Here is a 12,881-nt window from a genome sequence, read left to right as displayed (position 1 = left end):
GTTTCCAGTTTTAGGTCTCAGTTCCGAGTGGAAAGCATTTCCTAGCAGCCTGACAATACAGCCAGAAAGCATGTTATGGGGTAAGGTGATAAATATTTGCCATATGAGCCGTCCCCCACCCTCCCACTTTTGTAGCAGACGTTACTAATCAATCATGATAGTTCGTGCTACTCAGCCTCCCCCTTTCTCAGCAGAACCCCAAAAGCTCCGACACAGGAGAGTCCCTGTCTTTAGAAGTGGGAGCCGATGCCCAGAAATCCCTAGGATTCCAACACAAGTATGGAGGTGTCGTCACACATCAACCATGAACAGCAAGAATAACCCCTCAAGACTAGACCCCGCACAAAGCAGGGACTACCCCACTCCTTCTCTCATTAATCCTACCACACTCTCTACCATGGCCCCTGAGGACCTAAACTGTATTTTGCATTTTCAACCAAATTGATATTATTTTTATTAGCATAATCAATTTTTCTTCTCTCCTGAATTACTTTCCATTAGCATTTTAATCTCTGATGGCACAGTATTTTTTTAATTCTCTTGTATATCAAAATTTTAACTTTCCCCAGAAGCAAATGTAGGATTTGATATAAGTCTGGATCCCAAAACGGAACTCCCAGAAGACCTCGATTACAACCAAAGACCTGGATTATAGTTCCATCTTGAAAGTTATTTCTAGAAGATGGATCTGCCATCCAGAACGGGGAAATGAGGCTGGGCAGAATAGCCCTAAAAAGGAGTAGGGAGATGAGAGAAAGGAAGAAAAATTGCTGGTTCATGGCCATCGACATTATGCTTTCTTCAAGTGAAGATCTATGATTTGATTAAGTTCCTGATTCTAGAATGGCATCTAGGCCTAGGACAAACATCCCCAACTGGGGAAACTGGTCTGGGAAAAATATCCTCAACCTTGTCTTGGGGCAGAGGTGCAGGTGATGATGATGGCAGTGTCAGCAAGTACATCCAGGGACCAGATGGTGCCAGGGTCACTGCAGTGGCAGCATCAGAGCTACCAGGAGAAGCCGTGGGGTGGCACCCCACGCCCACAGTGGGTGGAAGAGGAGAAGCGTGACTCCCCAGGAAGCCTCAGCTGTGATAAGGGCTGAGAAGGCAGCTGCCAAGTCCACCAGGCATTCTGCCAAGGAAGGGAGGCACCCGCATCTGGGAACTTAAAGAGCTGTCCTGGTGATAGAATCTGTCTGGGGAGGCTCAGCAAGATTCTGCTATTTTTTTTCCCATGTAACCCAAGAAATACTCCATTTGTTGTGAATTTAATATTACATAGAAGAATGTTTATACTATGTTCCTATGAATATTAAATATACTGTTCTTCACAATGAATGATGGTGACAACTCTACGTGAAAAAATGATAAAAACAGTGTCCCATACACATAAATAATTTCTAAATTCTGTTATATTTAATATATAAATCTTTAATATGATATACTACTGAGCTTTTTTTTTTAACCATCATATGTTGCAATTTTTGCTTACTCTGGTATATTTTCAAAATACTCTTAATTCTTGCAGCCCTTCTCAACTGGGTTTCTGTAAAAAAATTACTTGCGGGCATTCGTTTAACTTCACTAGAAAACTTTGTAATACTGATATTTTAAATGGATCAAAACCCATAAATCCAATTCCTATTCTTTTCAGTTCATATGCTTTAAGGACGGACATACTCAGACCAGGATACATAAAAATCTTGGAAATAATGAGCCTTATTATTGCAGTGATTCTATTTTTTTTTTTCTGATTTTCATCTTAGCTTAATCTTTTTATCCCCTTTGTGAACAAAAGCTCTCTGAAAAAGAATCTGGAGGAAAGAGATTTTATTCCAGAGAACTGTTTGCAAATCAGGCAGACATGCAGGCCGCTGTGTAAAATGAAGGTCCATTCCAGAGAATGAAGGGATGGCATGCCTGGGGTTTTATAGGAAAAGTCCCCACCCAGGTTCCCAACCAGGTCTATTTATGCAAACAAAGGGTTGAGTCTTGTTTGGTTTTGACTGGCTGACAGAGCTGAGTTCTGATTGGCCCAAACAGCTGAGCCTTAATTGGCTAGGGGAGGTGATCTCTGGTTGCTTCCCAAGCCCCAAACCAGCAGTCCCTGTCAGATGTTTCTTTCAAATGGCCAATGGGGCCTGGGGCTTGCGGCACTGGGAGGTGTGGGCAGGTGCTGTGCTTTTTGCAGCAGTTTATCTTGTAGCCCAACAACAGAACAGGAGCTGGTTCAGCTTGATTGTAGAATGGGAGGTCCTTTGATACTTTTACAACATCTTTCTGAGAGCGCAGAACATGTGACCATTCTGTCACCCAGCTATGGACACCTAGTTCTGTTTTAACTTTGAGCTCCTCAGTTAGCCACAGGGAGTCCATTTTGTCTGGGGGCATACTTTATCACCTTTCTTTTCCAAATCTTATATTATCTGATTGAACTGCACACTTTAGCACTTAATTATATCGGTATACAACGCTAGTTTATTTAGAATTGTTTTTTCGCTAGTTGTTTCAACTGCACGTGCCTTGCCTTCCTTAAGTGAGTGTGAACTCCTGTAGGCAGGAATTGCTGAACACACATTTGTTTTGTTGTCTATAATTTCTAAAAATTCACATTTCATTAAAATAGCCAAAGTTACCCCTACTAAACAACACTTAGAGGCAATTAGATTAGATTGCTTGTTGGGCTCAGTGAATCACTTCTTGTTAGTCATGGAACCATAGTTCTTTAAGCATTGGGTACTCACATCTCTGGTAGATGTGAATTAAGAAATTAATCCAGGATGCATTTTGGAATGTGTAATTATCATTCCTGAAGCCACACACAGTCACTGCTCTTAGAACTGGAAAGGACTTCTCTTCTTATAGATGCAGCATTTGAGACTCAGAGCTGATAAGAAAATAGCCTGATTAACAGACTTCAATGTTGAAGACATTTGAAATTCAAAGCGGAGCACTGCTTTTTCTCAGATTTAGAATTAAAAGGGAAAAAAGAAACAAGTGACTTTCACATTTGGTGCGAAGCTTGAAAACATACTCTTTTCTTTACTCACTGGCACATCTGAGCACACACATTAACCCTTCCTCACCTGAGACAAATTGTAAAGAATCTACATGCGCCTCCATATATGCGCACCTCTTCCCTCCCCTTCTACCCTCTGCCATTGCAGTCAGGGAAGACAGTGGCTAAGATGTGCAGTGTGTTACCTTTCCCATGAGTACTTGCATTTTTAAACTTCCATTTTCATTTTGGTAGAGACAATGCGTGCTTCCCTACATATGCTCTCATTTCCTTCTCGGTCATGCTGGTAAGTCTGCAATGCTAGTTCCTGACAGGCAAGGTCATGTGATGTAGTCTAGCCAGTGGCCTGTGACTAGAAATGGCACCTTCAGTTTCTAGCAGGGGGTCTGCCACCGCCACATTCTCTTTTCTTTACTACCCTTAATAATCACAAGACAGAAGGAGCCTGGATCTTTGAGTCACTGGCTCGAGCTAGCCCTAGTTAACCTGCATGGGCCTTTGTGTGACGGACAAATCAACCATCAGTGTGCTACGCCACTGGGATTTGGCAATTTATTTGTTCCTCAACATATTCTTATTAATTCCTTCTAATACATTTACATAAAGAAATATGTGTTCATCAGAGACAAATCAAAATAAGAAAAAAATCAGTACTTTGCTGTTCAATATATCCTCACACGTTTTTCTATAAGTGTATCCATACAAGTCAGAACCAATTGTATCCGTAATAATTCCATGTTGCTGCATGTTACACAAAACCCAAGTAAGAATGGTTTAAAAGCATAGTGGCTTAATTTTCTCTCGGTGAAAAGAAGTGTGAATGTAGGCAGTTTGAGAATGGAGTATCATCCACAAAATATCATCAAAATCCTGCCTGCTCAAGCATTTTCTCCTCAGGGTTGTGTGGCCTCAGTGACTTTACCTGTGATTAAGTATCCAGGAAAATAAAATCAGTATGGCATGGTATCACCTGGGGTAGGCATTGACAACAGCTGCTTGGAGTACCAAGGATCAGAATAGGCTTCCTGAAGAAAGTGGTGTTGAAATGACTCCCGTTGTGTTCCCCCACAGAGGGAGCCTGTGCGATGACCCTGTCGTGAGAGGGGCCAGCCCACTTTGGGAAGCTGTGAGGAGCTCGGTGTCGCTGCAGCTGGGTACAAGGTCAGCAGGAGGCAGATCTGGAGGAGCCTGGGAGAGGTATGAAGAACTGGGTATACAGCCTGAGGGCAAGCAAAACCACCGCAGCCTTCTACTGAGCAAAGTGACTGCTCATTTTTACATTTTAGAAACCCTACTCTGACTGGGACTGGAGAATGGGTTGAAGGAGAGAGGACAGGATGGAAAAACAGAAAAACTGGGGGAATCAAAGTGAGATGGGTGGTCTGCTGCAAGACTGAAGGAAAAACAGAAGAAAGTATATGGATCCACAAGAGGATTAGGAGGTACCTGACAACACATTTACACCAGTAAAACTATTTAAACCTGCACATCAAATTAGATATCTTTATGTCTTAATAGATTAAATATTTTTCCTATTACTCATCACTTCTGCATGTTATAATGCTTAAACAAAACCAAAAATGGGTCGAGTGTGGTAGCACACGCTTGTAATCCCAGCACTTTGGGTAGGCTGAGGTGGGTGGGTCACTTGAGCCCAGGAGCCAGGAGTTTAAGACCAGCCTGGGAAAAATAGTGAGACCCTGATTCTACCAAAAAAAAAAAAAAAAAAAAAAGTTAAAAAACAACAAAAACGTTAACTCAGATTATGATCTGATTAAATATATAAATATATGCTATTTTTTACTTGTTGCGTCTTATTTATTACGTACTAGTTCAGAACTTCATGGCTTTCTCCAAATATTAATGTTATTAATATTTAAATGCTTAAACAAATATTAATGTTATTAATATTTAGTGAGAAATGTAATTGAAATATGATTTCATTGTTTTTGAAATCTTGATTTAATATTGTGTGATGGAGTGATTCAAATGCCTGCTTCTAAGTTTTAAATTTATTTCAATGCTGAAAATACTTTCTCACAAGAAAATGCCATTTAAAACAAAAGATATTTATCTTTCAGTATCTTCCAAAAATTATGAAAAGACTTTTGTTACAATTACTCTGTAACTTTTCAACATCCTAAAAAATCTAAATTGCTTTTTCTACCAAATAAATGGGAGGGGTTTGCATTTGACAAATGACTTAAAAATGTAACTTTTGGGGAAATTTTTTAACACAATAGAAAATTTGTGATGCTAAGGTATTTTAAGGGTGTAATTGTGAGCGGGTTTATAAGTCATGCTCATTTTCACTATTAAGCCATGTTAATTATAGAAAAATTTCAAATATTGGTTTTCATACATTTCCACCTCCTCACCATGAGTTATTTCAAAAAGCAGTAATTTTTTCACTGTTTCAAAACATCACTTTAATCTTGGGGGAATAGATAATGATGATAATTTTTTCAAATATACCTCTTAGATAGCAAAATTTAGACAGCCACGTGTCCTCAAATTTAAAACATTTTATTTTTACAAAATAAAAATGAACTTTGCCATGAGATAACCAGTAAATAATATTCTGTAACCATTGGTTTGCGAGTTGTTTTGGAGTGGACATACCAGTTTATCAGCATTGCTCAGGAATAATAACTGGATTTAGACCTATACCACCTGGTTTTGCTGGAGCCCAGGGATAAGGAGGGAGAGGGAGCTTAATGGTCAAGGCTGACCAATAGCTGGGATGTTCCTATGTGACCAGCTCCTTGTAGGAGACACTCAACAAACCTTGAGCTTCCTGGTACCTTTGCATATGTGTGGTGGTTGAAAAACCAGAGACAAAGTGTGTCCGTGCGAACTGGAAACAGGAGGACGAAAAGCCATTGAGGACACTACTGATGATGCATATGATAACCATTAATAAATTAGCACTATCTTTTCTCATATTTCAGATAAGAAAATCAACAAAAATATACATGTATTTTTCTTTGTGTAGCCTCATAGGTTTATATTGCACACCCCAGGCAAGGCGTACACAACACATTGGAGACTACTGGATATGAAAGATACTTAGGAAATACCTGGGCTGGAGATATAGATGTGTTGATAATCAGCACATTAGGGGAATAGAAGCAGAGGAGATGGCCAAGAAATTTGTGTAGTTTGAGAAAGTGAGGGTCCAGGAGGATACGCTAGGAACATCAACTTTCAGGAACAGGTCATGAAAGTAAAGCTGATGAAGGAAAATGAGGAGGAACAGCCAAAAAGGCAGGAGAAGAACCAAGAAGTGATGTCATAAAAATCAAAGAATGAGATGCTGCTGAGGCAGCAATACTATTGCCAAGTGTTACAGAGTGGCCAAATAAAACAAGATCTGGCCAAATAAAATGTCACTCACGTGGACTGAGCAACAAAGATGCCAGTGGTGATCATAAGAGTGTCTTCAGTAGCGTGGTCTGGGAAAGTCCCTTGAGAGACTATAAAGACAGGAGGTGGAGACAGAATCAGCAACTATTTCCAGAAGCGTAAGGGTGAAGAAATGGAAACAGAGAAGAGACAGTTGCCCAAAAAATGTGAGTGCTGGAGGGCTCGTTTTTCTTTTTTAAACAAGGAGGAAGAAGTTTGACTATAATACTATATTTAAATGCTGATTTTTAACAGTCAGGAGAGTAGAAGTTGAAGAAATAGAAGATGGGAGGTGCAGGTGAAGAAAATACGTCAGATGAGAGGAGGGGCGCTTCCTCTAGCATGACCGAAAGAAAAAATACAGCCTTTCCATATATTGTTTTTCTCCATTTTATGTATTTAAATAGCTTATATTTTCAATAACTTTTCTAGCGTCTTTATGCAAATTATTTCTATTACAAGCATCTTTGAGGATCCCTGTGGTGCAAAAATGTTACCATTTTAAAAATCCATATCCATTGGCCGTGACTTTATCCAGTCAATCTGTAATCACAACTATTTAAAAATTTGTATGAAATGCAAGAAAAAATAACAAAGGATTAAAGCATCCAGTTTATGCTCATGTAAACAGTCCGCAGTAAAAGTAACACATCTCATTTGTAGTTGTTCACGCAAAATAATTTCAGGCTTCATTGGAGAGAAATCTACATATCACTGCCTGTTAAGCTCCTTTCTTATCGTATATATGTGTGCATGTGTGTATCTATAGATAGATATACACACACATGTATATACACACATACATGTATATGTAAGATATGTATATACATATATAAGATAAAAAAGACAGCTCTTATAATACACATGTATATAATATATATTCTGTGATGTTATACATGTTATATATTATGTATTTTTATCAGAGGTGACTTTATCAAACTTTCATTTTATGTTTATACTATTTCAATGGCAACACTAATGTCACTAGTAGAAAATGGTCAACTGGGATTGGTTCAGGTATGAGTTCAGATTTCAACCTTTTTTTCTGTTTTCTAAAGGGAAAAATGTTAGGAAATTGCTCAGCTTATTTCTTCATTCATTTATTCCCTGGCAAATATTTATTGAACAGCAAGGCATTATTCTAGAGCATGAGGACACAGAGAGAAGTATAATTTAGTTTTCTCTCTTTATGATTTCCCTGTCTGGTACTATGTCATAGCTTGCCAAATGACAGTCACTGCAATAGAGGCACAGGTAAGATGACAGGGGAGTTGGTTAAGAGGAGTCTCATAATCAGTCTGGAGATAGAAAAGGAGCATCCTGAAATCCTGGCATATGAGTTCTTGCAACAGATGCATAGGAGTAATTAATCACTCCCGCCACTGTCCATAAAGGACTAGAGGTAAGACTAGAACACAATAAGGTGGAGCTGAGCATGGAGCATAGAGGGAGGAAGATGGAGATAAAGGGATTTTGGGGGAAGGGACTTCAAGGTGCAGCAGGAAGTAAGTGTAGTCACAGGGATGGGAGAGCCAGATGTATGGAGGTGCCTGTGGATTTGATGCTTTACCTGATGTGAGGAATTCATGTGAGGGCATGACAAGCCTGGAAAGGCAAGCTTGGCTGCAGCATAGGGAGTGCAATAAGCCTGATAATAAATTTGGGCCTTATACAAAAACAGTATGAAGCTTCTCAAAGTTTTAAGTGGGAAGACTTATGATAGATGAATGACAGGAAAAGGTTTCAAGTCTAGAAAAACCACTGTGGCATCACTGTGGCAATTGTAGTAAATGTGGGTGGGAAGTGAAACAAGAGATAAGGAGATATGGGCCTGTTGGTGCAACCCAGAGGAGCTCGGCCAAGGGCCTAAACTAAGGCAGAGACTGTGAGTAAGGAGCAAAAGAGACTGACTCGAGAGATATTTGGGGTTTAGCATCAAGGGGACTTGCGGACTTACTCTGTGGAGGGGTGAGGGAGGGGGAGAACCACAGAAATCTCCTAAGTTTCAGGTTTGGGTGAGGGAATGATGCCTTTCATATTGACAAAGACTCTCTCTCCTTTGACCAAATTTTAATCAGGCTCTTCTGAGCCCTCTGCTCAACTGGGCCCAAGCTTCAGCTTCCCTCTCTATTCTTATAGAATCCAGTCTGAGCAAGAATCCTGCTAAGTCAGTTTAGTGAAAATTTCCCACCCTTAGTATCCAACCACTCTCCATTCTTATCACCTTGAGTTGTCTTCAACAAGAATTCTGTTGAGTCTGTCTAGCAAGAATCCCCCTAACCCTTGATATTTCTTCCTAGTAATTTTTCATCCATTGACTCCCACTCTGCTCCTTGGCTATAAATCTCCACTTTTCCTTGGAGTTGAATTCAGACCCAATCTCTCTTCTCCTATTGACGTGGTTCCTACACTCATCACCATAATCCCCTTTCTTAGTAGAACCTTCTTTACCATCTTTAATAAGTGTCAAAGAATAATGTTTCTTTAACAAAGTTAATGAGAAACGTAAAAGGAAGATCAGATCTGAAGGGTAGATCATGAATTCAGGACTTTTAGAATGACAAGATGGAAGAAGACTCACTACCACTATTGACAGTTAAACCAGGATTATTATGATCCACACATATGATGATTACCAAGGAAACAATGAATAAGACAAAAGTCCATTTTCACAATAGCATTAGGTTTGGGCCAACATTGTTCTATGCAATCAGTAATTTGAAAATAAATAAAGCATATTACATTAGGGCTTTTCCTAGCTAATTAGCTCCCCACACATAAACATATACACTTTTTTGGGGGTAAAATCTCCATACAGCAATATTGGGTAGTGGTGGTCTTTGTGACCTTGGGTAAGTTTCTTAACCTCCCTGAACCCCAATATCTTTGCTGGAGATTATAAACTAACTTATCAAATGGTTTCTGTGAGGATTCAATGATTTTAAATATGTAAAAGGCTTAGAAAAATCTCTAACTTATGGTGAGCATTCAATAATTATTATTTACTGTCATGCAGAGATATAACTTTAATATATTTTCATTACTATATCCGTATAAAATTTTACTCTACCTGAACTTTGAGAAAATGTATTTTCACAAACTAATTTCTATCACTATTAAGTTAGAATAGAATGGAGATGCAGAAGAAGGAATGCCAAGGGACAGATATGGGGATGGGGAAGGGGGAAGAATTACATGACTAAAATGTTTTAAGATGTTAGATACTGATGTCTGTTCAGACAAATGACTCATTGATTGATTGCTAAATCAGAAAAACAAAATTTGATTACAGCATCTGTATTTAGGTCATCTTAACATTATATCATCTGAGACAAATTGCTCAGCCCACAGAATATGAAAGAAGGTCATGAATACCTATGGCTTGTTGTTACATATGAAATTCCTGTGGTTCTGGCCAAGACGTAGTAAGACAGACCAGATTTGCCCTACTCCCCGAAAAAGTTAAAAACTGGCAAATCCCTATAACAATAGTTTTCAATACATTGGGCATCAAGCAAAGAATGACAGTGATCAATGACAGATGAAAGACAAATGAGATGAGCCCTGTGATCAACTTACTGCCTTGTGAAAGTTTCTACTTTGCAACCTAAGGGGGAAACTGGCAGAATGAGAAGCCATCCCTGGGATCTGAGGAGGCCAAACTGAAAATTCAAGCAGCTAGAATTTGCAGAGCAGGGTAACAGAAAGAAGAAAGGAGACAGCAAAACAGAGAGAACCACAGGCATTTACAGAGTCCCTATCCTCCTCCCTGAGCTCAAGTGTTCCGCTGAATACTGATCAGTCTGGAGAAAGAAGAATATGAAAGAATTAGTAGGGGCAGTGTCCAGTGTTTACATAGCTCTGAGAATGGTAGATGTTACCACCAGGTACATTGAAGAATATAATTTATGGAACACTGAATACGGTACTCAAGAAGATCTTGCCTACATAGTGGGAAATGCATAGCCTGAGATTGAGCACTGATCTGGATTCACCTAACTCATCTTAAAAGCAACACCTGAAATGATCAAACTGCATTCCAGAAGAAAGCACACTCATATTTATAAAAACATAAAAATACTCAACATCCAATCAGATGAAATTTACAATGAAGGACATCCCCAATTAAAAATTGTCAGACATGTGAAGAAGCGGGTAAATATGACCCAAAATGAGGAGAAAAATCAGAAAATCAATAAAGCTGCCAGATTCTAGAATTAACAGATAAGGATATTAAAACAGTAATCATAATCATGTTCTATATGTTCAAAAAGTAGAGAAGAGATATCAAACACATAAAAATGATTCATATCAAAATAATACAGATAAATATTCTGGCTGATATGAAAAACACAGGATGAGACTACTGGCAGCTTAGACATCACAGAAATAAAAAATTAGCATAGTTGAAGACAAAACAAAGATACTCCCCAAAAATCAAACACACAGTGAAAAATTAACTTTTAAAAATCAAGAGTGCATCATTGCAGGGAAGAGAGTGTTCAGGGGGAAATTTATAGCTGTAAACACAATTGAAAAGAAAAAAGATCTAAAATTAACAACCTGAGTTTACATCTTGAGGAACTAGAAAAAGAAGAGCAAACTAAAACCAACACTAGTAGAAGAAAGGAAATAATAAAGATTATAGTGAACATAAATGAAGTAGAGAATTGAAAAATAATAAAAAGAAGCAATGAAACAAAAAGCTTGTTCTTAGAAAAGAAATTTTCAAATTGGCAAACCTTTAGCTAGACTGACAAAGAAAATAAAAGATCTTAATTTTGTGCACCAAAAGACATTATTAGGATAGTAAAAGGCAACTACGGAATGGGAAAAAAATTTACAAATCATATATCTAATAAGAGTTTAATATTCAAAATAAATAATGGACAACTAAAACTAAACAAAAAGACAGAAAACTCAATTTAAAAATGGACAAAAGACATAAATAAGACATTTCTCAAAAGATATACAAATGGCCAATAAGTTCATAAAAAGATGTTTAACATCACTAGTCACTGGGGAAATGTAAATCAAAACCAGAATGAGATACCGTTTCACACTTAACAAGAATGGCTTAAAAACATACGAACAAAAAACCTAACATAGAAAATCACAAGTGTTGACAAGGATGTGGAGAAGCTGGAACTCTCATACATTGCTAGTGAGAATGTAAAATGGTGCAGCCTCTGTAAAAATCAGTTCAGCAGTCCCTCAAAAAGCTAAACAAAGAATTTAAAAAAAAATTCTTTAACAATGTTTTTAAAATTCTATTTTTTTTCCCCAATAAAGCTCTTAGTCCCAGTTTGGTAGTTGAGGAGGAGTCTAAGAAAACAAGCCCTTCCTCAATATCCCTGGGAAAGAAGGGTTGAGAGAACACAGATCCACCAGGCCCTAGGTGACTGCATTGCTGGGGTCATGCAGGGCTTAGCACTCCACCAAGGGAAAGTGCTGATTTTCCTTGTCATTGTCCTGGCCTTGCTCCCATGCTGTCTTCCACTTTTCAGAAGTTGCCCAGTTCCAAGAATGGCTCCTTCCTTTAGTTCACTAACATTTTCACTTAGTGAAGACTGCTTACCCTTCTCTTGCTTTACCTGTCATGGTGTCAGGGTGCCAGACGAGTTGTTCTCCTGCAGAATGGTGAGGGACAATCTCCCTAGTATCTTGCCATTTGGCTTCCATCTATTGCACATAGAACCTGAAGATCTGGGAGTCTCAGGGTCTCTCAAGGGCTTGTTGGAGCTCTGGCTGGCTACAAGGGTTTCTGTGGGCTGTCTTGCTTCCTCCTTGAGAAACACCTGTTTGGCATGAAACTCAATCTGGTTCCAAGACTACTGAGTTATGTTGTGTGTGTGTGTGTATATATATATATATATAACCACAACTTAAAAGAAACTTAAAGTATAATAATAATAAAATTTAAAAAAAATAAAAAATAAAAAAAGAGAATATATAATTCAAAGTTAAAAAAAAGAAAAAAGAAAATAAAAGCATATCAGTAAACTGGGGAAAAAAATTCCATAAGCACAGTATATATGTAACTGGAGTCCTCAAAAAAGAGGGTAAACATCAGAAAAATTATTTGAAGAAATGGTGGCTTAATTTTTCCAAATGTGATGAAAGGTATAAAACCACAGATCCAAAAAGCTCAAAAAACCCCGAACACAAGAAATATGAAGAAAACTACACCAATTTATATCATAATCAAATTTCTCAAAACCAGAGATAAAGGTAAAATCTTAAAAGTAGTTACAAGAAAGCAAGAGATATTATATACAGAAGATCAACGTTAAAGCTGCCAAAAGATTGCTCATCAGAAACAATTTAAGTGAGAAGATAGTGGAACATGTTTACTGTACTGAAATGAAAGAACTGTCAACCCAGATTCCTTTTATTTTTGGTTTTCGTCATTATTTATAAAATAAATTTTAAAGTTTGAGGTTTACAACATGAT

At 38.1% G+C, this 12,881-nt stretch overlaps 1 pseudogene, besides 1 other annotated feature; it reads right to left on the bottom strand.

Annotated features, from left to right (window-relative positions):
• Nucleotides 877-976: an enhancer, noted in NCBI's record as "active region_25863". NCBI's record gives its function as "activates an Ori minimal core promoter by ATAC-STARR-seq in GM12878 lymphoblastoid cells {active_cell/tissue: GM12878}" and the evidence as "EXISTENCE:reporter gene assay evidence [ECO:0000049][PMID:35858748]".
• Nucleotides 11,855-12,255, bottom strand: CDCA3P1 (CDCA3 pseudogene 1; annotated as a pseudogene).

The sequence above is a fragment of the Homo sapiens genome, chromosome 7 (genome assembly GCF_000001405.40).
Source record: "Homo sapiens chromosome 7, GRCh38.p14 Primary Assembly".
NCBI lineage: Eukaryota > Metazoa > Chordata > Mammalia > Primates > Hominidae > Homo > Homo sapiens.
This window is presented reverse-complemented; position numbering and strand designations above follow the sequence as displayed.